Source organism: Homo sapiens, chromosome 2 (assembly GCF_000001405.40).
Source record: "Homo sapiens chromosome 2, GRCh38.p14 Primary Assembly".
NCBI classification, from domain to species: domain Eukaryota; kingdom Metazoa; phylum Chordata; class Mammalia; order Primates; family Hominidae; genus Homo; species Homo sapiens.
In genome coordinates, this window is record NC_000002.12 from 226,815,823 (window position 1) to 226,841,643 (window position 25,821).

The window sequence follows — 25,821 nt, forward strand, 5'->3', positions numbered from 1 at the left end:
AAAGTATGATTTTTAGGACTTGCTACTAAAGGTTAAATTTTCTCTCTCTATTATAACATATTCATGGATCCTTTAGACATTAAAGTAAAGTTGGAGTGGAAGAGTAGAAAATAACAGAATCTATTTATTGCTTTAGGTTTTCTTATGAATTGCCCCCTGCTCTGTCTCTAGTTTGTGACATGATGCTGATAGCATGTCTGTTAGTGTGTAGGTGACGCTGCCTTCAGCTAGAAGCTGGATTCAACAACATTAGGCTGACTTGCAGGCTACAAAGCCTCTGACTAAGGTCATCACATCTGGCACCAGATTTGATGTCAGGAGCTGATGTTCTTTTCACCTTCTTCCCCCATGAACTTCTTAACTTAGTATTTCTAAGGATATTATACAGTGGCATCGTGCTGACTTAGGCTAGGCAGTGACAAATTTAATGTTACTTCACCTCTGCCAGGGTGAATTCAAGACCCATCACCGTGCCCAGAAACCCAATAGCACATTTGAATATTCTGAACTGCAAACCTGGTTGCATTAACAAGAATAGTATGGGAATGGTGGCAAAAAAAAAAAAAAAAAAAAAGAAAAAAAACAAGTTGTGCAATAAATTATCAGTTTATTTTCTGGAGAAGGTTACTTTGAAGGTCACAAATTTCTTCTGTCTAAGGATCCTTGGAATGGTTTAAGAAACAGCCTACTTATGGTCAAAGTTAAGAAATGAATAATCTCTTAAACTATGCCCCATATCCAAGACTCTGTTGTTTACAGATTATACCAAGAAAATATAAAACATAGGTCTAGGCCAGGCACAGTGGCTCACGCCTGTAATCCCAGCACTTTGGCGGGCCAAGGTGGGTGGATCACCTGAGGTTAGGAGTTTGAGACCGGCCTGACCAACATGGTAAAACCCTGTCTCTACTAAAAATACAAAAATTAGCTGGGCATGGTGGCAGGCACCTGTAATTCCAGCTACTCGGGAGGCTGAGGCAGGAGAATCATTCGAGTCCAGGAGGCAAAGGTTGCAGTGGGCCCAGATAGCACCACTGCGCCAGCCTTGGTGACAGCGCAAGACGCCATCTCAAAAAAACCACACACACACGTCTAATACCTTTTTCTGAGGGACAACTTGCATTTTAGTTCATTTCTCACTGAAGCAAAATAACAATTTACATTTAAATTGTGGTTTTCCTTAAACATAAGAAAATGTATAGTTCTTGAACACACCAGTCTATTGGCATTTTCTACAGCTAATGCTTCCAGTGTCTAAAGTGGTGTGACATCATCTATACCACCTTCATTATACTATTTTTGTCCTGTGTAGGTGTGCATAGTGAGCTATATACGCCTAGTAATATGTTTATTCCTTGTGTTTAAGAGCAGGCAAGGTCAGAAGTTATACTAATTCTTTGGGGATGAGTTCATTGGTCAGTGTCATCAAATAACTTTTCTGAGAGCTAAAAGTTAGTCCAGTTATTGGCTTAACCAAAATGCCTAGGGTGTTACGGTAAATGATTGTTCAGTTCAGTCACAGACAGTTGATCTGGTAGGCCTAGTTGCTGGTGTTCTAATTAATGCCTTATAGTAGTCAATCAAAAATAACTGGGCACCGATCAGGTACATTACACTGATACTCAGCAGGGAACCAAGAGGAAATAACCCACTAAGGCATTAGCTAAATGAAAAGCAACCATAAACTGGAAGCTAATGAGGTAGACATTTGTCATTATGAAGTATCAACCTGAAACTATGTAATTGAACAACCCAAATACACAGATGAGTTCTGAATCACCCAACCAAGCAGGGATCCAAAGGATCCCAAATTCGCCCTGTTTAAACGGAGCTGTCTCTGCCTGGAAGAATAGGGAAGATAATAGAAGTTAAGGCTGGCAGTTAAATGACATTGAAGCCAGTATATTCTCAAAGAGAGAAACTCCACTCATGTTTATGTGTGAATCATTTGGGGATTGGGGTGCTCACGCAAAGTTAGATTCCTAGGATCCGCATGAGACCTAATAAATAAAAAATCCAGCATGCACCTTTTTAACAAGCTCTTCAGTGAATTCCGCAGTCAGTGGTTTACAGTTCACATGTTGACAGATACCCTTTATGGTTTCACATAGATCCCTAGGTCTTTCCTGTTTGTATTGGTAAAGTCTAACTTAACTGCATTGTTAAGGTTATACAAAGGCTAGTTTAAAGGTATAGGAATTCAGAATGATATGATAATTTGGAGGGCATTATTTCTCCTATTACTTGTTTGAATCAGGAGTTGCAAACTTCTGGCCTGCTGGCCAGATGTGGTTGGTCCATCTATAGTCTTTTAAGTGGTCCAAACAGTATTTTTTTTTTTTTTTTTTTTTTTTTGAGATGGAGTCTCACTCTGTCGCCCAGGCTGGAGTGCAGTGGCGCGGTCTCAGCTCACTGCAACCTCCGCCTCCCATGTTCACACCATTCTCCTGCCTCAGCCTCCTGAGTAGCTGGGACTACAGGCGCCCGCCACCACACCTGGCTAATTTTTTTTTTGGTATTTTTTTAGTAGAGATGGGGTTTCACTGTGTTAGCCAGGATGGTCTTCATCTCCTGACCTCGTGATCTGCTCACCTCGGCCTCCCAAAGTGCTGGGATTACAGGTGTGAGCCACTGCACCCAGCTCAGTATTTTTTAAATTATTTGCCAACGTTAAACATTAGAAGATGATACAGCAAAATCTGAAATTCTAGTTTCTCTTTAAAAATCAGATGACCTGGCCGGGTGTGGTGGCTCACACCTGTAATCCCAGCACTTTGGGAGGCCGAGGTGGGTGGATCAGAAGGTCAGGCGTTTGAAACCAGCCTGGCCAACATGGTGAAACCCCGTCTCTCCTAAAAATACAAAAGTTAGCCAGGCGTGGTGGCGGGCACCTGTAATCCTAGCTACTTGGGAGGCTGAGGCAGGAGAATCGCTTGAACCCGGGAGGTGGAGGTTGCAGTGAGACGAGATTGCGCCATTGCACTCCAGCCTGGGCAACAAGAGTGAGAATCCATCTCAAAACAAAAACAAAAACAAAAACAAAAAAACAAAAAACAGATGACCTGAGAGCACTGAGCCATGATTTCTACAAGACCTCAGTCAGCTAGAATTGAAAAGCAGCTGCCCCTTTCAATGTGTAGTTTTCCATAGTCCCATGACTCCAGATCATTTCCCTGACACCATGGCCAAATGTCAGGTGCCATTTGTCACCACGATGCTTCAGATGCTCTCTTCCACCCGGCCCACTTGACTCGTTTATATCACCTGCCTATATCCTCTAGGCACTTGAATTTATGACCCCTGTCTTAAGGGTACTTCAAAACCAATTGCTTTTGAACAGTATTTGATGATGAAGACAGATATTCCACATTCAGACTTATTCTGATGCATTCCCCTGGGATCCACATACTATGCTCCTGGGCAGAATCTGGGCTAATTCATTTAAAGAATGCTCATTAATCAAAAGAAAGTCCAATCTAACTCAAGTCTTTCTAGGAGACTACACAATTTGCCATGTCTAATTGATGTACATATTTTATTTTCTATTTTCTACAGCGAAAGGAAAGATACTGCTTAAGAGGCTGTTGTTTTACAGAAAACACAGCTGTTTACAGTCATTTACAAAAATTTAACCATTTTAAAAACCACTCTAAAATACTCATCCTTGTGTAATTCTGATGTGTCAATGTAGGTTCATCAATTGTAACAAATATACCCTCTGATGGGAAGGCTGATAATGTAGGAGGCTATGCAGGGGGTGTATGGGGAATCTCTGTACTTTCTGTTTAATTTTGCTGTGAACCTAAAACTGCTCTTTTAAAAAAAGTCTCAAAAAAATTTCATCTGAAATAAATCTGAGGTGCTTAACAGCCCAAGAATATTCAATGGTCAATATTCCCTATGTTTTTTCTACTTCATAAAAAATATAGTTTAAAATATTTCACATTATTGCTCAGTAGAACCTTGAAAATTGAACATGCTATCTTTTTTCCTAGGTCAAATATGACATGGCATTGCAAAATAAGCCTTTCCCCTCATTACTTTCACTCCCTTGATTATGTGCACTAAAAACAAGTCTCAAGAAAATCCAAGGTAAAAACCTGTTGGTAAAATATTAAGTTCAGGTTTAAATGTGAAAACTACATATTGTGTGTGTTTTTTTTTTTTTTTTTTTTCTGAAAAAAATTCAAGTCTCTCTTTTAGCTAGGGCAGCTGAAGATCTGTGGGTGCATTCACAGTAATTTAGGTTTAGGTTTCAAGTCTCTCCCATTTTGGCACTGTGAATTTGAACTAGTTACTTTGTTTCTGTAAAATGAGATAATAATCCGACCTCATAGACTCATTAAAAGGATAAAAGTAGTTTGATGAATAAAGTACACAGCACACACTCAATAAATTATAGCCCTTATTTTAATTAGTGACAGTGAATTTCTTTCTGTACTGACCAAACAGTATCTCCACAGGACCTAAGAAAAGTGCTTTAAAAAGGAAGTCATAAACCCTTTTTTTGGCTTTTCTTTTAAGCAGCTTTATTCACCCAACAAAAGGAAAGTGAATTTCTTTTCCATGACAACATTGTTTAGGCTAATAGCCAGTTATCACTTCTACCTAAGACTCCATCTTGCTCAGTCTTATATTTCTCAGGTAAACACTCCAAAGAATTCCATAGAGAAGTAACTTTCTTTTAAAAATTAACTTTTACAGGCCAGGTGCAGTGGCTCATGCCTGTAATCCCAAAACTTTGGGAGGCTATGGCGGAAGGATCACTTGAGGCCAGGAGTTCAAGACCAGCTTGGGCAACACAGTGAGACTCCATCTCCACAAAAAAAAAAAAAAAAAAAAAAAAAGAAAAAAAAAATTAGCCGGCCATGGTGGCATGCACCTGTAGTCCCAGCTACTCAGGTGGTAGGATTGCATGAGCCCTGGAGTTTACGCCACTGCACTCCAGCCTGAGAGACAGAACAAGACCCTGTCACTAAAAAAATTTAAAAATTGACTTTTACTTTTGAAAGTCATACCAGGAAAGCTATTAACACAGATCAAAAAGGGGTTGCCAGAAAGTTAGCTGGTGTGTCAAAGAATAATGATGAAGAAATGGGGCCTGTAACTGGGCCAGGAAGATGAGCAAACAGCATCCGTGGCATCAGTCAAACCTTCCCTCTGTTCCTCCAGGCTTCTGGTACCCCCATCCTCTCCTGTGTCTGCCACTCAGCCTCTTCCTTTTTTCCACCCAAAGCAGAAAATTGAATATGAATGATGGCAAGGTTGATATTATAGTTAACATTTTTTGAGCCCCCTACTATGTTCCAGTCACAGAGCTATATGCTTTATTCACCTTAACTAAGCTTAACAAAAAGCCACAAAGAGAAGAACTGTTGCCCCATTTCAGAAGTTGGTCATACCACCCAGTCCTTAGGCTAGAGCTGGGACTGAAGCTTGGGTTTATCTGATTTCAAGCTACTTCTAAATGCAATAGTGACTAGTACTGGCTTTTTTTGTTTGTTTGTTTGTTTTTTAAGCAGTGAATGAACTTTTAATGTTTTTCATATTAAATTAAAAAAACTAATTTGTTCTTTGCTTGAGTTAGTGTCCACAGTCATTGACTTTGTTGTATTTTTTTCACCCCTGCCCCCTGCCCCATGACTTACTGGCTCTCAATAGCTGGAAATGTGTTTAAGTTTTGCTCTAATTTTTTTATTTTAATAATTATTTATTATTCTATAATTTAGGAGTTTTATTTGTTCAGAGCTGTCATTACCTCTTATAGACATCATAACACAAAATATATTTATTAAGTAATTGTGAGTTGTATTTAGCTTCTGACTACTTCTTGGTCCTGCTTCTTCATTCCAAAATATAGCAAAGGTGTATATTTCATTCTTCTCATTTTCTACACTATAAAAGTTTTAATAAAATCTATATGAATTTTTTAAATATGAAAAATTATGGTGATTCTTATTTGTATCTTGAAATTTTACCTTTCCTTTGGCTCAGCAACTCTTAGTTCTAGTCATATTTTAATCTTTTTGTCATCTTTGATTTTTTTCTAATATGCTATTTACGTTTTACTCTAGATCTTAGAATCTTAAAATAATCTGGAAGAGATCCTCTTAGAAAAAATTTCGTGTTATTATGTCATCTTATAGTTGAGAAAATTAAGTTTCAGGGGGTTTGAATGACTTACTCAAGGCCACATAGCTAGTGGTAGAGCTGAAAATCATATCCTGTGAACTTCCCAATTTTCTATGCTTTCTTGCTCATTGTAAGTCAAAGGCATTAGGGAAAAAAAGAAAAAAACTTCTGTTAGGCCCACAAATAGCTTTATAGCTTTATGTAACAATTTTTACCATAGCCTGTTAGACCTATACCTCCCCTGACTCTTCTAGTCCCACTCTGTAATAGCTTGTTTGTTTTGGCTTATATTATATTCATTTGAGAAATTAATTTTACAGCTCTGGGCTATTATTTAGTCAAATGAATTTAATTTTTTGGGGATGCTTGCTCTTTTGCGTACATTAAGAAAGAAATGTGGCCAGGCACGGTGGCTCACGCCTGTAATCCCAGCACTTTGGGAGGCCAGAGCGGGTGGATCACCTAAGGTCAGGAGTTTGAGATCAGCCTGGCCAACATGGTGAAACCCTGTCTCTACTAAAAATACAAAAATTAGCTGGGTGTGGTGGTGGGCACCTGTAATCCTAGCTATACAGGAGGCTGAGGCAAGAGAATCGCTTGAACTGGTGGGCTGAGGTCGCAATGAGCCGAGATCGTGCCACTGCACTCCAGCTTAGGCGGCATAGTAATATTTTGTCTCAAAAAAAAAAAAAAAAAAAGAAAATAAATGTTTGGGTCATATTGGCAGTTCAACTCAAAGAGTGACAATGTTTGTGTCCCTCCAAAATTCATATGTTGAAATTTAATCCTCAATGTGTTGTTTCTAAGAGATGAGGCCTTAGGGAAGTGACTAAGACATGAGGATGGAGCCTTGTGAATGAGTTTAGTGCCCTTCTAAAGAGGCCTGAGGGGCCAGGCGCGGAGGCTTACAACTATAATTCCAGCATTTTGGGAGGTTGGGGCGGGTAGATCACTTGAGGTCAGGAGTTTGAGATCAGCCTCGTCAACATGGCAAAACCCCTTATCTACTAAAAATACAAAAATTAGCTGGGCATGGTGGTGTGTGCCTGTCATCCCAGCTACCTGGAAGGCTGAGGCAGGAGAATCACTTGAACCCGGGAGGCAGAGGTTGCAGTGAGCCAAGAAGACTGCACCACTGCACTCCAGCCTGGGTGACAATGAGATTACGTCTCAAAATAAAAGAACCCTGAGGGGGCTTGTTTGCCTCTTTTTGTCCTGCTGCTATGTGAGGATGCAGGAAGGAGTCACCATCTGTAATGCAGAGAGCCCTTGCCAGATACCAAATCTGTCAGTCTCTTGATCTTGGACTTCTCAGCTTCCAGAACCATGAGCAATCAATTTCTGTTGTTTATAAACCACCTAGTCTAATGCATTTTGTTATAAAAGTCCAAATGGATTAAGACACAGTCAATTTGCACTGTTTCTTAAAATTCTAGATTGTATTCTGCTTAATATTTGGATGTATAGTCTAGATTAGCTGTCAGCATTTCCTAATAACTAAGTCCCATGGCACTTGAATACTGCCAACTTAAAATGGATAAAATGGTGCACTAGACTTACCCTGGAAATTTATGAATAATATATTTTTCTTAAAAGAAATCCTTGTTTTTATAAGGAAATGCATACTGCAGCAAAGGGGCATCTTATCTGCAATGTACATGAAAACAATTCAGAAAAAAATGTGGATAGATAGATACACCTATCTTAGTCCAATTTATGCTGCTATAATAGAATAACACATACTGGGTAATTTATGATCAACAGATATTTGGGCAATTTATAATGAACTGACATTTATTTGACTCATGGTTCTGGAGGCTGGGAAGTCCAAGTTCAAGGGACTAAATCTTCTGATGGCCTTCGTGCTGGATCATAAATCATGGAAGACATCACATGGGCAAGAGACGGCAAGATGGGGCTGAGCTCGATTCTATAACAAACCCATTCCCACAATAACCACACTAATGTATTCATGAAGGCAGACAGCCCCTCATGATTGAATCACACCCCAGTAGGCCCCACCTCCCAACGCTGTTGCATTGGGGATTAAGGTTCTAACACAAGACCTTTGGGGAAAACATACAAACCACAGTAATACTTATCAGAATTATAATTGATATACCTACATACACGTTTTTTCTCTCTCTATATATATATCCATATACACACATTATATACATATAAACTACATAAACATTTTATATATACTATATATACACACATATGAGAGAGAATATGATAAAGCAAATGTTAACATTTAAGACATTTGAAGAATACACAAGAATTCTCTGTACTATTTTTGCAACTTTTCTATACATCTGCATTTATTTCTAAGTAAATTTGAAGAAACAATTGGCAGCATTAAAACTTGTAGGATTGGACATCCACTTAAAGACTAGCATCCTCAAAACTTAAGAAAAAAAAATTAAATTGTAAAAAAATCTTTTCCACTTATATATATCTAACATTCTCAGGTAAGAGACAGCCTTTACTTAATTAGCTCTCAAAGAACAAATTCCCTGGGAAAGAAAGGATTGAGTTAAGTCAGTTGTGTTACATTAAAACAGAAAAGGAAGAAATCTAAATTATGTAAAGTGGAGCTATCTGTGATTGTATGGGATGTCAAAAATTGCCCCCACTCCTTGCTTCAACCCACAGCTTCTATTTTCCAAGCCCTATGGTAGTAATTTGGCTAGAATCTTAGCAATACTTCTACAAATTTTTCAACTGTGTCTTTTGTCCCAGGCTCCCTTCACCCAAGATCTTCTGCCTCTGGCCCCCTTCAGTCACCATCAGGGCTGAACAGATTGACCTTTAATTGAAATTCATCCTGCCTTGTATACATGGTATGTCTAATTGTGGATGTAAAGGCCTTTTTGAAGCAAATTTTAATCATTAGTAAGCAGTGGCAGAGATACAGCTGTGTTTATGAGGTTATGGATGTGCATACATGTGCGCAAAGGAGGTCCTAAAACCACTTTCAGACTACAGGCACACTGGAAAGCTAAGCCAAAATGCCTAAGAATCATCTGCTACTGTTATTATCACAGACTGATTTCCCACATTTTGATGCAAGTTCATTTTTGGACATTTATTTCCTAGCAGAACATTCATAGCTTCTCCTTTTCTAAAAGTTCATTATCTACATTAGTTTTTCATCAAGCACATACACAGCACTCATGAAATATTTTGCCAGAATTTAGGAGGGGTGGTTTAGAAAGTCTCCTACGAGGTCTCCAATGGCACACAGAGAATGTGATTTGACAGCTGTGGTGAAATTTTTCATTATAATCATGGAAGCATCAGAATTTTAGTTGGTTAAAAAAAAGCAGAAGTGGCGGTTGCAGATGTAAAAAAAAATTAAAAGGAATGTTTATTAAAATAAACTCCTTATTTAAGATTTACTATTTGAAGGAAACAAGAACTCTCAAACAATATTCTACTATTATCCTGTGACCATAAGAACAATTGGACAGCTGTAAACCAAATTTAATTTTTAGAAAATACTCATAATGAGTTAAAATAAGATTAAGAAAGATCTATCTAAAACACTCAATAGATAAATACTTCCTAAAATAGAAAAATGTAGAAAACTGGAAAGGAATACATCATTCAAAATAATTCTGAAATAGACAGTAAATGGCTATTTTCATTTTGATAGTTTAGATAGTTAATAAAACAATGGAAACAATGCAAACATGCACGAGTAAAAACAAAATTAGCTTTTATGTGGACCAATGATGCATCCAAGGTCACCCACTACTAGACATTTAATGTTCAGAAGCAGAAATAATGTATTAGAAAGAAAGGTGAAATCATGAATCCCTTTGCCCACTAGCTACATGAGCTTTGGCAAATTACTTAGACTTTCTGACGCTCTGTCTCCTCATTTGTAAAATGGAGACGAAGTGCCTCACATGCAGCAGTCACTCGAAAAATGGTCACTATTATTATTAAGAAAATAACAGTTATCGGGTATCGAGAGTTTATTGTGTGCCAGGCACTTTGATAAAAGCTCTAAATGGATTATCGTTTTTAGCTAGTAGGGGTTACACTGCTGGTTAACAGTGAGCTCTTACAGGATGTTAGATAGAGGAGTGATAAAATTTTAAAATCTAAAATAATAATGAGTTGTAACAAAATCAAGGAGATCTGGCTTATTTATCTACTTCTTAGGAAAACATGTAGACGATGCATGAGTAGAGAATGAGGTTTCATTGGTTTAACACCCCAAAATAGGAAATAGAATGATCTATTTATGTGAGATTAGAAATCAGGGAATGGCTGATCTAGAGGCAGGAGTTTAAGCATTAAAATTTTAAGTATTAAAACACTTGCAGTGTAACACAAATTATTTTATTGTTATTTCAGCTCTTCTCAGTTCCGTTAGATTAATTGAGAGTTGATTAGTGAAAATTGATATGCAATTATAATAATGACCATAAATATGTCAGGATAATTAACCTTGGCATGTCTACTTGCAAATGCATTGCTCCTATTTGTAGTTTTGGTAACAACTTATTACTGACAGGATTCTCCTGGCTGTAGAACAATCATGATAGATTTTTTTTTTTTTTTTTTTTTGAGACAGAGTCTCGCTCTGTTGCCCAGGCTGGAGTGCAGTGGCACAATCTCGGCTCACTGCAACCTCCACCTCCTGGGTTCAAGCAATTCTCCTGCCTCAGCCTCCTAAGTAGCTAGGACTACAGGCAGGAGCCACCACACCCAGCTAATTTTTTGTACTTTTAGTAGAGACGGGGTTTCACCACGTTAGCCAGGATGATCTCAATCTCCTGACCTCATGATCTGCCTGCCTCGGCCTCCCACAGTGCTGGGATTACAGGCATGAGCCACCACACCCAGCCTGATAGATTCTTAATTGTACATTCTTCTTTTACACCAGTGAAAAACCACTTGAGTTCTAAAGCACACATTTCTGTATAAAGAGTCAAAGAAAAGATCATTATAAGAATTTCTAAGACATGTTAATAGATTACATTTAAAAAATTTTTTATTATTATTTCTTAAGACAGTGTCACTATTGCCCAGGATGGAGTGCAGTGGAGTGATCATGGCTCACTGTGGCCTCGGCCTCCTGGGCTCAAGCAATTCTCCCACCTCAGCCTCTTAGTAGCTGGGACCACAGGTGCATACCACCATGTCAGGCTACTTTTTGTATATATATATTTTTGTAGAGACAGGGTTTTGCCATATTTTCCGGGCTGGTCTCAAACTCCTGAGCTTAAACGATCCACCTGCCTTGGCCTCCCAAAGTGCTGAGATGACAGGCATGAGCCACTGTGCTCAGCCTAATGGTGTTTTTAAAAGTAAGATTTAATATTCTCCATATTTTACACCCATAATCTACAGATAACCTTTCCATTATCCCAAATAAATTATCTACTCCATGTAGTCCAGTGTCCACATTGTAATGCTCACACACCAAGAATATTGCACATGATGGCATACTTATGCCTCTTATTCCTTACTGTTGATCAAAATGATACCCTGCTAAAATACTACATAAAACATACATTACCATAATGATTCCTCAAAATATTGTTCTCACTTCGCCTTTTTGTTTTGTTTTTGTTTGGCCTGGAATGCTGTTCCATTTAACTCAGTAAGTCCAGTCCCACCCATTTACACATTAAGTATTGAAATGCCAGCTCTACAAAGTATTCTCCCATCTCTCCAGCTCTAGTCAATGTCTTCATCCCATAAACTCCCAAGTTAATTTCAACTTCACTTAAAGCAGATAGCTGTTTCTATCTGGTTTCATTGATAGTAATGTAGATTCCCTTGGTTTCTTTACAAGGCTAGAAGCTCTTAGAGTGTGAGATCCACATGTGATGGTTATCCTTCATCAAAAGAATAATTTCTTGAGCATAGCATGTGGATGGGTAGGGCCTGGGTAGAACTTCCATGGTCAGTCTTTACTAGGCCTTGGACATAAGTGACCATACGTGTACAGACTGGTTATCTTCTTTAAATAGCTTTGTTAATGTGGAATTTACATAGCAAAAAATTCGTGCATTATTTATGTATAGTTTGTGATTTTTAATAAATTTATAGTGTTAATAAATTTATAGGCAACCATCATCACTATCCAGTTTTAGCACATTTCCATCATTCCAAAAAGTTTTCTCATGCTAATTTAGAGCTAACCTGCTCCCACTCCTGGCCCTAAGCAACTATGGGTCTGTTTTCTGTTTCTGTAGATTTGCCTTTTCCAGACATTTCATGTAAATGGAATCACACTATATGTAGACTTTTGGGTTTGATTTCTCTCAACTAACATAATGTTTTTGAGGCTCATCCGTGTTATAGGATGAATCAGTAGTTTTTTTTCGTTGCTTAATCATTAACAGTTGAGCATTTGGATTGTTTACAGTTTTGCCTATTATGAATAATGCTGTCATAAAATTAGCATGCAACTCTTTTGTGGACATATGTTTCATTTCTCTTGGGTAGATTCCTAAGAGTGAAATTGCTGGGTTGTATAGTAAGTGTATGTTTAACTTTCTAAAAAACTGCATAACTATTTTCCAAAGTGGCCACACCACTTTATAATCCCATCAACAATGTATGAGCATCACAGTTTCTCCACATTCTTGCCCTAATTCCATCTTTTTTATTATAGTAACTTAAGGGAATGTGCAGTCGTTTCTCATTGTGGTGTTAATTTGCATTTTCCAAATGACTAATGATGCTGAGAATATTTTCATATGTTTATTACTCATATATCTTCTTTGATGAAGAATATATTCAAATCTTTTGCCCACTTTTTAACTGAATTGTTTTCTACTTGACTGGTAAGAGTAATCTAAATATTCCAGAGGAAAATCCTCTATTAGATACAATATTTGCAAATATTTTCTTCCAATCTCTATCATGATTTTCATTTTCTTAATGATGTCTTTTAAGTATATTTTTTAAATTTTGAGGTCCAATTTATCAATTTTTTCTTTTGTGGATTGTACTTTTCCTGTCATATGTAGAAGTCTTTGCCTAATCTAAGATGACAAAGATTTTCTTTTGTGATTTTTTCTAGAAATTTTATAGTTTTAGCTGTTACATTTAAGCCTATGATCCCTTTGGAGTTAATTGTTGTGCATTGTGTGGGCCCAAGTTCATAGTTTTTTTCAGACATCCAACTCTGCCAGCATTCTTTGTTGAAAGACTATCCTTTCCCCATTAAATTGCCTTAGCAATTTTGTTGAAAATCAACTGACCACATAGGGGGTTATTTCAGTTCTATTCTGTTGATCTTTATGCCTATTCTTACACCAATAGCACACTGTCACGATTACTATAACTTTATAACACATTTTGAAATTAAGTAGTATAATTCCTCCAACTTTATTCTTCTTTTTCAAAACTGTTTTGGCCATTCTAGTTCTTTTATTCTAGATTATAGGGACCAGCTTGTGAAGTGTGTACCCCAAAAAAGCCTGCTGAAATTTTGAGGGATTGTGTATTGAATGTATAGGTTAATTTAAGAAGGAGTGTCATTTGAACAATATTGAGGCTTCCATTCTATGAATGTGAAATGTCAATTTATCTCAGCCCCATTAAGTATTTTTCAGTGTACAAGCCTTACACTTCTTTTATTAATTTGATTCTAATATTCCTAAGTATTTTATTCTTTCGATGCTACCTGGAATGAAATTGTTTTCTCAATTTTATTTTCAGACTGCTAATTTGTGGTGTAGAGAAATATGTTTTTCAAAAAATTTTGTATCCTGAGACTGTGCTAAACTTATTAATTTTAGTAGTTTTATCTGTGTGCGTGTGTATGTATGTGTGTATTTTCCTTAAGATTTTCTACATATCAGGTGATCTGTGAATAGAGTTTCACTTTTTCCTATTCAATTTGATGCCTTTTATTTCGTTTCCTTTATTACACTAGCTGAAACCTCCAGTACAACATAAGTGATGACAGCAGACGTTCTTTTCTTGTTTCTAATCTCAGGGGAAAAGCTTTTGGTGGTTTATGTTAACTATGATATTGACTGTAGGTTTTTTTTTTTATAGATGCCCTTTATTATTACTAGATTGAGGGAGTTCCCTTCCATTCCTACTTCCCGGAGAGCTTTTATCATAAATATGTGTTGGATTTAGAACAGTGCTTTTCTACATCTATGGAGATGATGGTCTGAATGTTTGTGTTGCTCCAAAATTCTTATGTTCAAATTCTAATCTCCAAGGTGATGTTATTAGGATGTGGAGCCTTTGGGAAGGAATTAGGTCATGAGGACAAAACTCTCATGAATGAGATCGTGCCCTTATAAGAGACCCCAGAGAGCTAGTTCTCCTTTCCACCATGTAAGGACACAGCAAGAGGGTGCTGTCTATGAGGAAGCAGGCACTCATCAATCTGCCCATGATGCTTTGTCAACTTTCCAGCCTCCAGAACTGAGACATAAATTTCTGTTGCTTACAAGCCACTCGATTTATGGAACTTTTGTTATAGCAGCTCAAACAGACTAAGACAGATGACCATGTGGTTTTTGTCCTCTAGCTTATTAATATGGTGTTTTATATTAATTTTTTGCTAAGAGGGTCTTGCTATGTGGCCTAGTCTGGAGTGCAGTGGCTATTCAAAGATGCAATCATAGCCCACTAGACCCTCAGACTCTTGGGCTCACGTGATCCTCCTGCTTCAGCGTCCTGAGTAGCTGGACCTACAGGTGCATACCACAGTGCCAGATATAAACTTTTTTTTATTTTTCAAGAGATGGGGTCTCCCTTTGTGACTTAGGCTGGACTGCAGTGGCACAATCACAGCTCGCTATTCCTTGAACTACTGAGCTCAAGTGATCCCCCCGCCTCAGCCTCCTGAGTAGCTGGGACTACAGGTGTGTGCCACTGTGCCTGCCTTATTTAATTTGTTGTATAGATAGGATCTCACCATCTTGCCCAAGCTGGTCTCAAATTTCTGGGCTCAAGCACTTTCTTACCTTGGCCTCCCAAAGTGCTGGGATTACGGGTGTGAGCCACTGCACCTGGCCTTTTTTGATGGAAAGCCAAACTTGCATTCATGGTATATGATCTATCCTTCATACATATTGCCATATTTGGTTTGCTAATACTTCATTGGGAATTTTTGTACATTCACAAGGGATGCTGATCTTGTAATGTCTTTGTCTGAATTTGTTATCAGGGTAATAACATCCTCACAGAGTAAGTGGAGAACTGTTCTATTTTCAGAAAGTTTGTGTATGATGGTATAATTTCTTCCTTAAATATTTGATGGATTGACATCAGTGAATCCATCTAGACCTGGGCTTCTCTTTGTGGGAAGATTTTCTTTGTGGAAAGTATTAAATTTCCGTACTTGTTACATGTCTGTTATGGGTTGAACTGTGTCATCCAAAAAGATGTGTTGAAGCCCTAACCCCCAGTACCTTAGAATACGTTATTTCAAAAGAGGGTCATTGCAGATGTAATTCATTAAGATGAGGTCACACTGGAGTAGGCTGGGCACTTCAGCCTCTAGGAGACAGGCACGTGAGGGAACAGCACATGTGGAGATGCAGGCAGAGACTGAAGTGCTGCAGTTGTAAAACCAAGGAGCACCAAGAAAGGCCAAGGATTGCTGAAAACACCAGCAGTGGGAAAGAGACAAGAATTCTCTCTTCCAGGTTTCAGAGGGAGCAGAGCCCTGCCAACACTTTGATCGAGCTTCATGTCTCTAGAACATGAGATAATAAATTTCTGTTGTCTTAAGCCACCTAGTTTATAATACTTTTTTTTTTTTTTACAACCACCATAGAAAATAAAGTCTTTTTGGATTTTCTATTGAGCCAGTTTTGGCAATTTGTGTCTGTCTAGGAATTTGTCCAATTCATCTGCATTGTCTAATTTATTGGCACAACGTTATTTACAGTCTCTTACAATCCTTTTAATTTGGGTTGGTAGTGATGTACCTGTTTTGATTCCTAATTTTGGTCTTTTTAATTTTTTGGCCAGTTTAATGTTGGCTCATTAATTTTACTGGTTTTTTTTTTTTTCTAAAAAACAAACTTTTGATTTTCATTTTCTCTATTTTTGTTACTTATTTTATTGATTTGCAATATGATCATTATTTCCTCCCTTTGCTAAAGGTTTACGTTCCTCCTCTTTTTCTAGTTTTCAAGGTGGAAGTGTAGATTTGAGACTCTTTTTCTTGGTGTTTAAAGGACTAAATACCCTTTTGATCACTGTTTTAGCTGCAGTGCATGACTTCAATATGTTTTCACTTTCATTCATTTCAAAATACTTTCTAATTTCCTTTAGTACTTCTTCCTTGGCCCATGAGTAATCTAATTTCCAAACATCTGGGGATTTTCCAAATTTCTTTCTATTGTCAATCCCTAATTTAATTCCACTGTAACTGGAGAATGTACTTTGTATGATCCCAATTCTTTTAAATTTACTGAGACTTATTTATGGTCTAACATAAGGCTATCCTGGAGAGTATACTTTTTAAAAAGAACATAAATTCAGCTGTCATTAAGTACAGTGGTCTGTACATGTTGGTTAGGTTGAGAGTCTTGTTCAAGCCTTCTATATACTTAGTGATTTTCTGCCTGGTTGTTCTACACATTATTGTGAGTAGGATACTGAAATATCAAACTACTGTTGTTTGTATATTTCTCTGTTCAATTCAATCATTTTTGCTTCATGAATTTAGGGCTCTGTTACTGGGTGCATATACATTTATAACTGTTATATCTTCTCAATGTATTGACCCTCTTATCAGTATGGAATTTCTGTCTCTAAAAATATTTCTTGTCAGCCAGACGCGCTGGCCTGTAATCCCATTTGGGAGGCCGAGACAGGTGGATCACATCAGGTCAGGAGTTTGAGATCAGCCTGGCTGACATGGTGAAACCCCATCTCTACTAAAAAAATACAAAAAATTAGCCAGGCATGGTGGCGGGCACCTGTAATCCCAGCTACTTGGGAAGCTGAGGCAGGAGAATTGCTTGAACCCGGGAGGCAGAGGTTGCAGTGAGCCAAGATTGTGCCATTGCACTTCAAAAAAAAGAAAAAAGAAAAAGAAATTTCTTTCTTAAAGTCTGTTTCATCTGATATTAGTATAGCCACTACAAATCTCTTATGGTTAGTGTCTGCATAGTCTACTGTTAAGTATTGTTGGTATTATTATCACTATGGTACATGAACCAATTTCTCATTTTTACAGTTCTTAAATTGAGATTTGAATTATTTAATTTGCAAGCTTTTCCATAACTAGAAAGCTATAAATTATCTTATCAGTTTTACACATATTTTGGTACAGTTTTGGGTAAAACAGTAATCAATACTTGGTTCATTAAAAGCAATTAGAAACCCAAACAAGCTTCTCCCTTAAAAAGATAATCCAGTTGTGTATTTGTTGCACGCTGTCGTTGCATGGTATTGTTGCCTGACGTCCTCTCACTTTCAGGCTGGGTTCTGAAATCTGAGAATGACACTTGTCTACCTTCCTGCCAGTCCTGGATTTGTGAACTGTACAAGGGTTGTTACCACCACTCCTCCGCTTATGTGCAAGCACCACATCTTAAAAACACTCATTTAAGTCGGGTGGCTTAATCATAGGTATTGCTGCTTTTCCTGTAAACCTTAGATAAAAGTTAAAATTTATTTTATACCATTCAATGTCTCACATATTATGCACAATGTGCATAGTGCTGCCTCGTCTCATGATTAAGATATATACTTTCCAGCATTTAGAAATCATTGTTTTATATGGTAATGTAGTGATTACGTATATTTTAAGTTAAAGAATTTCTTCTGGCACTGATTCTTTGGTATTTTTAAGCCTTGCTCAGTGAAAGGATGCTGCTGCTGATTGCTTCATATGTTCATATTTAAGATATACAATTATTATCCAAGTGATATTTGTCAATTGAAATGGGATATGAGCATGTTACAACATGCTCATTTCAACAGAAACTTTTAAAAAACCCAGTCTGCTCAACAAATCACGTAGGACAAAAGAGAAGGTCATTTTTTAAAAGGTAGATATTTTTTTCTATCTGTTAAATGTCTTTTACCCCTTAAATGTCTATGAAAATTTTCACTGATATTTGAAACAGAACATAATTACCTAAGAATATTCTTAATCCGTATATATTTCTTACATTTTAACGAAATTATTGAATTGAGACTTCTTGATTTGTGGCTCCCTTAAAATCACCTCTGCATTTGATGTATTATACGGACAAGAAAATGATGCAATTATAGAAAGATGTAGAGAGTGATGGAGAATAGAAGATAAGATTAATATTAATTGAATGGATTCATATGATTGTGGTTCAGAAGGATAAATGAGGACTTCTTCCTTTTGAGAAATTACACATTTCCCCCTCTAGGGAAATACAGAAAATACCTCTATAGGCAATTTACTTTTCCCCGCATTCATTTGACTTTTCATGTCCAGAAATGCAGTTTCTCATTGTCAGTTGAGCTTTTGGAGGAGTATATTGTTTTTCTAGGAAAGAGGTAACTTATGAGTCTTAATGAACACGTACAATTTGCTAAGAATCTTCTTTGTCACTTGAAAGTCATATGTACACCCACACCTATGCATGAGCCACATTTTCACTTAAATTTCAAACTCCAAAATAAATATTTCTATGAAGAGTTTTAATACACAATGGCAAAAGATAAACTCTTCTGGTTTAGGCAGTTTTTGTTTTAGCAGACTATCTAAACACAGCTGCTACAACTTCCAATAAACAAAGAGTAACACTAAACCACCTGTATTCGGATACTCGGATTCCTTCTTGGAAAAAGAGCATCTTTACCCTAGCTATCAGAAAATTCCATACCAAATAGTAAGATTTTTTTTTTTTGAGATAGAGTCATGCTCTGTCGCCCAGGCTGGAGTGCATGGACGCGATCTCACTGCAACCTCTGCCTCCCGGGTTCAAGGATTCCCCTGCCTCAGCCTCCCGAGTAGCCGGGATTACAGGCGCCCGCAACCATGCCTGGCTAATTTTTGTATTTTTAGTAGAGACAGGGTTTCGCCATGTTGGCCAGGCTGGTTTTGAATTCCTGACCTCCGGTGATCCGCCCGCCTTAGCCTCCCAAAGTGCTGGGATTACAGGCGTGGGCCACCGCGCCAGGCCTGTTGTTGTTTTTTAAATAGAGACAAGGTCTCACTATGTTGTCCAGGCTGGTCTCAAACTCCTGAGCTCAAGCGATCCTCCTGCCTCGACCTCCCAAAGTGCGGGGATTACAGGCGTGAGTTACCGCGCCCGGCTGTAAGATAGTTTTTTCATATCCTATTAAATATATATAGCATTGCAACATTTAACTTAGCCTAACTCCTACAGCTAAACATAAAACTTGCTCCCGAGTAGCAAACAATTAAAATGGTATCAAATTATGTATTAATCGAAATTCTATTAACTGAAATATGAAACACCTAAAGCCCTCAAAATGGGCAAACGTTGCGTGGTGCAGTCCCAGACCCAAGCTTCTGGGAGTGAAAGGTGCACCCGCGACCTTGCCTTGCTGGCTGGCTCTGGGACTCTGCGATAAGCCGCCCTCCGGTTGTCTGCGATAGCTCCTGAAGCAGGAGAGTGTCTTTCCCACCCTCCGCCTAACAGGCGGTATCTGACCCTTCCAGGCAGCAGCTCCCCAGCCTCCGGCTGCGCTGGGGCCCGGAAGGACGAAGCTTCCCGGCAGAGAACCTGGGCAGAGGCGTCCGTTGGGTAGGCGGCCGCGACCCGCTCGCTGCTTCTCCCCTAGTCTTCGGGTCCCTTGAACGCAGGTCGCTTGTTTGCCTTACGCGTAGTCAGCGGCCAGTGGCTATTTATGGCAGTAAGGAATATTATCCACATTTCACATGGAGCTTAGAGGACAGGGCGAGGGTCCACACTCTCCTTACTGCGCTCTGCCGCGGTCCTGCCCCGCTGTGCCCTCGCGGCCCCCTTAGAGCCACTGCCGGCGCACGCGGTCTGCAGACAGCAGAGCGCGGGCGCGCACAACTAAGCATGCGCCGCGGCCGAGCCGTCCGCTTTAAGGCCCTCCCCTCCCGCACCCGGCCCCAGGAACCCGGGGCGCCCCGGATCGGGAACGTGCGTGATGACGCACGTGCGCGCGAAGACGTGGGGACGCAGGCGGGTCGTAGAGAGCGTGAGTTTCCGCGTCTGTTTGGTCCGGCTGCTGTCGTTGGTTGTGAGCGGCATCTCTCGCCGTTTCCCCGGGCTGCGGGAGCTGGCGGCCGGGCTGGGGCTGCTGGGCGGAGGTCGGCGCCTCCCGGGGGGCTAGGGCGAGGGAGGCATGGCGGGGCTGGAGGCACAGCCTCCCCGTCCGGGGCAAGTCCGAGAGCGGGGAGGGCGTTTCCTGGGGTAACTCCACCTGGGGTCTTGTCGAAGTTGCCGCATCTCCGCCGGACCGCACGGGAACGACGTGCCCACACTCGGAGGAAGGGGTTGGCGCTGAGCGAGTTTAAAGGGTTCCTTTTGAAAGCAGGAAGTTTGAAGTGACGTTGCATCAGCAACAGAGCATGCAGTTTCAGGTGCTCTCGGGACAGCTTTCAGTTTCTCAGAACAAGTCTAAGCCTCACCGCAGTAATAACTTTTATTAGAGGACAAAAAATCCGCCAAAGTAAACCCTTTCTGTCCAACCCCTAAAAACCTTTGGATAAACGTTTACAAGAAACGGATCACAGCCTTATTTGTTTTTCTAAACTGAGCATAAACTCTTTTGAAGACTCAGCGTTACTGTCAAAATGAATGAGTGCCTGCCTAGTTATGATTCAATTATCGAGGTGTTTGGGTCTCTGCAGTACACTCAGTGACTCCCAGGCTTTTCTTTTTTCTCTTTGAAATTGCTTATTAGAAGGCTTTATCTAATTTCTCACAGTTGTGTGTCTTTTTGAGGTAGTTCTAATAAACTTTAAAGGCTTCTGGTTTGCTGCAGGCCTGCCGTCGCTGTGGAAAGCAAGTATTCTTTCAAAGAAGAATAGAAGTGCATTGGTTTCTAAATAATCCCAGGACGCTAGGATCAGCATCACTTGGGAACTTCTTGGAAATGCACATTTTGGGGTCTTATCCCAAACTTACTGAATCAGAAATATATTTTAACAAGCCTTCCAGTTGATACCAATGCACCTGGACGCTAAAGTTTGAGAATTAATGGCGTAGTGATAACACCCATTGTGGAATCACATATAATGGAATTTGAATTGAAGTAATTCCTAGATGGAAAAACTTGGACATGTTACCTCACAGGGCTGGAATATGAAGATGCAAGAAAAATGTTTAACACAAAACACATAGAAAACCCTCAAAGATGTTATTAAGTAACTTATTAGAACTGCATAAAATAAGTACATAGTTTGTGCTGGAAGGATTCTTCAGCGGGGTAGATATGAGCTGTAGCGCATGGATATTGGGACTGCTGCTTAGAGGGTATTTTGTTTACCTCGGGATTCTCAATTCTGTGTAGTCAAGGTTGTTGGATGCAGGATATTCAGTTAAAAGTTAAAGCAGTGCATACTAATGCTATTGTGGTTGTAGGATTTTTAAGAATAGCATTAGTATTTATGTTGAAGAGTAGTTTTTAATTCTTTGGCCTTCTGATCTCTTCAGCTTTGTTTGGAGACAGTCTCTTTCTGCCACCCAGGCTGGAGTGCAATGGTGCAATCTTGGATCACTGTAACCGCTGCCTCCAGGGTTCAAACGATTCTCCTGCCTCAGCTTCCCAGGTAGCTGGGATTACAGGCGTCTGCCACCACGCCCAGCTAATTTTTGTATTTTTAGTAGAGACGGTTTCACCACGTTTGCCAAGCTGGTCCCGAACTCCTGACCTCAGGTAATCCACCTGCCTCGTCTTCAGTTTAGTTATACCTTCTTTGACCCAGAATTTGGTAAAGACCAGAGGTAAGCACTAGTTTTAGAGTTGAGAATTATTGTAACATAGTGACTTGCAAGCGAAAGCCAAGGCTGAATATGTTTCTGTCCTTATCTTTGTTTCCCATATGTCGTACAACTCCACGGTAGCAAAGATCTCATGTCTACTCTAGATACCTCCATTTTCAGGAAGGATCACAGGAGTGCCCTCAACCTGCTGTGTTTTTTAGATGCAGTATTTTCTTACAACTTTATCTCTTTCAGGGGTCCATTGTAGGGGGAGAAAGAAATATTCAGGATTTAAAGCAGCTGCTCTAAAGGCTACATTCACTGCAATGTTGAGAAGGTCAGTGCCAAACCGTGGCCTACACATGTCGTTTTGATGAGAGCACGCTGCTCCCAAGGCTATACCATGGCTCCTGGATATTGAGAGAGTTTTCAGATAAACATAAGTCACTTTGAATGGATTATTCTGGAAATAATTTCGTTAGCTCTGCCACCAAATTGGCACTGCCCCATCATGAAATGTTTATTTTTCGAAGGCATTAAATATTTTTTTTTGTTCTCCTCATCGGAGAGGCAGATCGCTATCTGTGGTTTTAGGTCAGACAAGCCCTGCTCTGAATCTTGCCTCTGCTACTTAGTGATTGTGTACATTAGACAAATTAACATCCTCCCCACTTGAATTTCTGTAAAGTAGGAGTCATAGGATGTGCTACTTCAGGCCATTGAATTAAATGAAATAACGCATAAAACACGTCCACCTTGTTTTAGGCACAGAGGCTCAGTAAATGTTGTGTGTCGGACAAAGGGAAAAAAGGTATTTGTTGTCTCAAACCTAACTTTATGCCATTCATTTTATAATATTTTTATAAATGAGGTAATTTTATTACCTAACTGCACTGCTTTTCTTTTTAACCATAAAATGCTGAAATGGAGTCAAAGCTTTCATATTATTGTGAATGAGAAAAAACAAACACTTGAAAAAAGTTGAAACTTTAACGTGAAAAAACACCATCTTCAGTTTTATCACTGTAACAGAGCAACTTGTAGAAATTGTTTTGGATGTTTACAGCAAGGTAAACATCCAAAGGTCAGGGGATGAGTAATAAAGTATCTTCTGTTAGTTAATGGGGACAGTCAGCTAGAGAAGGGGACACTGTTACAGGAAATGAGACCTCGTTGAAGGTATGCATCAAAGGATGAGAAAATGCTGTTAGCCCTGAAATTGCTAATATTTTTTTAAAACACGAATTCTTAATAGCAAAGTGAAAAGTTTTACATTACATTTTTTAATAAGGGATAACAAAATCTCTTACATGTATTTCTGTGTGTTTATATTGTATATGAATGTATGAGTGCAGAAAATACTTGACTCACACTAGGTCATAATTTTATTTGTCAGTATATTGGAATATGGGGGTGGGGACCAAGTATAAAAGGAAATTTTCTATATATGTAAAATTAGATACGTACATGTATATGTAAATGTTCTTTAAAAAAACTATTAAAAACGGAAGCGATTCTTTAAAAGGTAGATTTCCTTTTATGTTGCAGTCATAGCCACGTAAGCAATGGACCTCATATTTTTTTTCAACAGGGAGCCTCTTAAACAGAATCTTACCTGTAAAACTCAGGAGCCGAGAAGCTTTAAGAACAGTGAGGTTGAAGGGCACAGGCTCTTGGTCCTTGGCAGCGATATTAGGAGGCGTGCCTAGGGAACCTCGGATTCCGGGGAGCTGGACGTGAAACTCTGTGGTGGAATAGAAATCCTCAGGGCATGAGCTATACCTAAAACGTAATGGTATTAAGAATTCTGGTAAGTGGGATTCACAAACTTGTTCTGAAGACAATTTCCAAGGTTGTCAGCCATGTCACCATATGGATGGCTTCTCATGCAGAGGAGTGAGTGATTATTGAGAAAAAAAAAAACCCACCTGACCCGTATTTTACAAAGTAGGATTCTGTGCACTTTTTTGAGGAATTAGCTTTTTAAAAAATCCCTCCAAGTTGTGACAGCTGTATCGCTATTAAAAGCTATTTGGCATTTTAACTGACTGTTGTTTAGGATTACAAATGACTCGGGGAAAAAGAAACAAGGAGTCAAAGGAAGTGTATTACTTGTGTTTATAGCCCTATCATTTTTTTGTTGTATGGAAGCAACTACTCTATATTTATATAGTAAAGTGTTTTTTTAGAGTTAATTTTTAGTTAATAATGAGCCTTCATAAGAAAAATAATTTCAAATGCTAAGTATTTGTTAGATTGTTACTAATAGTGGTAGTTAGTGATATTACATTGTCTTTTTCACACATTGAAGAGGGTTTCCTGGTGACAGCTGGAGCTTGGGGGAGGGGGAGTTACTTTCAATCAACCAGCTGCTTTGTGGCAATATCATGATGGTGATATTTCAAAGCCCATAGATAACTTTGGCTGTTTCAGGAAAGAAAATCTATCAAATTTCTGGGAAGCAACAGATAATGGGCAAGAGACCTTTGGGATCTACGTGATGGCCAACTAACAATGTGTGCATTCCGGTTTGCATGTTGGGGTTATTTACCATCTAGTTTCTTGGACATTGTTACATGCACCTCATAATTACACAGTAATAGAATCTAGCTCTAAGGGCAGGAAAATCTCATTAAGGAGAGGAAAGGAGAGTGAAAAACCTTGGTGATGCACTGCACGCTTTAACATAATACCCTATTTCATTTATTCTTGATGGTGATTCTAGAATGTAAGTGGAATTTTTTGCCATCTATGGATAAAGAAACAGAAGCTCTACAGTACTGGTTGTATGATTTGCCCAAGGCCACATACTAGTACATGATGGCCTCCATATTTGACCCCAGATCTTCTGGCATTAGCTCTAGGAATGTTGTCATTACACCAACAGCTGTTTCTCCAGGTGTTAACTTGCTTATGCATTTTTAATGCAAAGTCACAATATCAGGATAGTAATGAATGAAATAAATATAAATGTTACTTACAATGACTTCAGTTTTATAAATAATATATAGGGGTGTGTGTGTGGACTTGTGTGTATGTGTGTTTTGGCAACTACATATAATTTGGGTTTTTTTTTTCTTAAGTAAAAAGTCTCTTGGGCAATACTGTGAAAAAAATTTCACTACGTTTTTTAAAAATATATTACTGATACCAGCAATATTGCAATTATGTGTGTTGCAATGAATCAGTTGTGATTCTAAATTTGAACAAACCTAGGAATGAATTTTGTGCATACTGCCCATGTAGTCGCCCTCATCCTAACATATTGAAGGAAATTTCTTGTTTTTTTCTTTCAAGGCGTATTCATTTTTCATTCATTTATTTATTTTTTTTGAGACAGAGTCTCACTCTGTTACCTAGATTGGAGTGCAGTGGTGTGATCTTGACTCACTGCAGCCGGGACCTCCTGGGCTCAGTTGATCCTCCCACCTCAGCCTCCCTAGTAGCTGGGACTACAGACATGTGCCACCACACCCAGCTAATTTTTTTTTCTTCAGCTTTTAAGTTCAAGGGTACGTGTGTAGGATGTGCAGGTTTGTTACATAGGTAAACATGTGCCATGGTGGTTTGCTGCACAGATCATCCTGTCACCTAGGTATTAAGCCCCACATCCATTAGCTATTGTTCCTCCCTGCCTACCACACCTCCCTGACAGGCCCCAGTGTGTGGTGGCTCCCTGCTCTGTGTCCATGTGTTCTCATCATTTAGCTCCCAGTTATAAGTGAGAACATGCAGTGTTTGGTTTTCTGTTCCCATGTCAGTTTGCTGAGGATAATGGCTTCTAGCTTTATCCATGTCCCTGCAAAGGACATGATTTCATTCCTTT

General features: G+C 39.0%; 1 protein-coding gene across 39 annotated transcripts in view, besides 4 other annotated features; it reads left to right on the plus strand.

Annotated features, from left to right (window-relative positions):
- RHBDD1 (rhomboid domain containing 1) overlaps positions 1-25,821 on the plus strand; it is a 199,052-nt gene that overhangs the window by 15,664 nt on the left and 157,567 nt on the right. For 5 of the 39 annotated variants that reach the window (NM_032276.5, NM_001349071.2, XM_047445986.1 and 2 more), the window contains exon 1: positions 20,232-20,265. The exons of 2 other annotated variants lie outside the window; for them this stretch is intronic. The gene's annotated coding sequence lies outside the window, so the exon portion shown is untranslated. Of the gene's footprint in view, positions 1-20,231; positions 22,333-23,586; positions 23,806-25,821 lie in introns of those variants that run through there. 32 more of the 39 variants (XM_017005084.3, XM_047445982.1, XM_047446005.1 and 29 more) reach the window with 14 other exon arrangements.
- Positions 19,551-19,845: an enhancer, noted in NCBI's record as "tiled region #3963; K562 Activating DNase matched - State 1:Tss". NCBI's record gives its function as "activates a minimal TATA promoter and a strong SV40 promoter by Sharpr-MPRA in K562 cells {active_cell/tissue: K562}" and the evidence as "EXISTENCE:reporter gene assay evidence [ECO:0000049][PMID:27701403]".
- Positions 19,685-19,754: an enhancer, noted in NCBI's record as "active region_17194". NCBI's record gives its function as "activates an Ori minimal core promoter by ATAC-STARR-seq in GM12878 lymphoblastoid cells {active_cell/tissue: GM12878}" and the evidence as "EXISTENCE:reporter gene assay evidence [ECO:0000049][PMID:35858748]".
- Positions 20,015-20,544: a silencer, noted in NCBI's record as "silent region_12394". NCBI's record gives its function as "represses an Ori minimal core promoter by ATAC-STARR-seq in GM12878 lymphoblastoid cells {active_cell/tissue: GM12878}" and the evidence as "EXISTENCE:reporter gene assay evidence [ECO:0000049][PMID:35858748]".
- Positions 20,595-20,744: an enhancer, noted in NCBI's record as "active region_17195". NCBI's record gives its function as "activates an Ori minimal core promoter by ATAC-STARR-seq in GM12878 lymphoblastoid cells {active_cell/tissue: GM12878}" and the evidence as "EXISTENCE:reporter gene assay evidence [ECO:0000049][PMID:35858748]".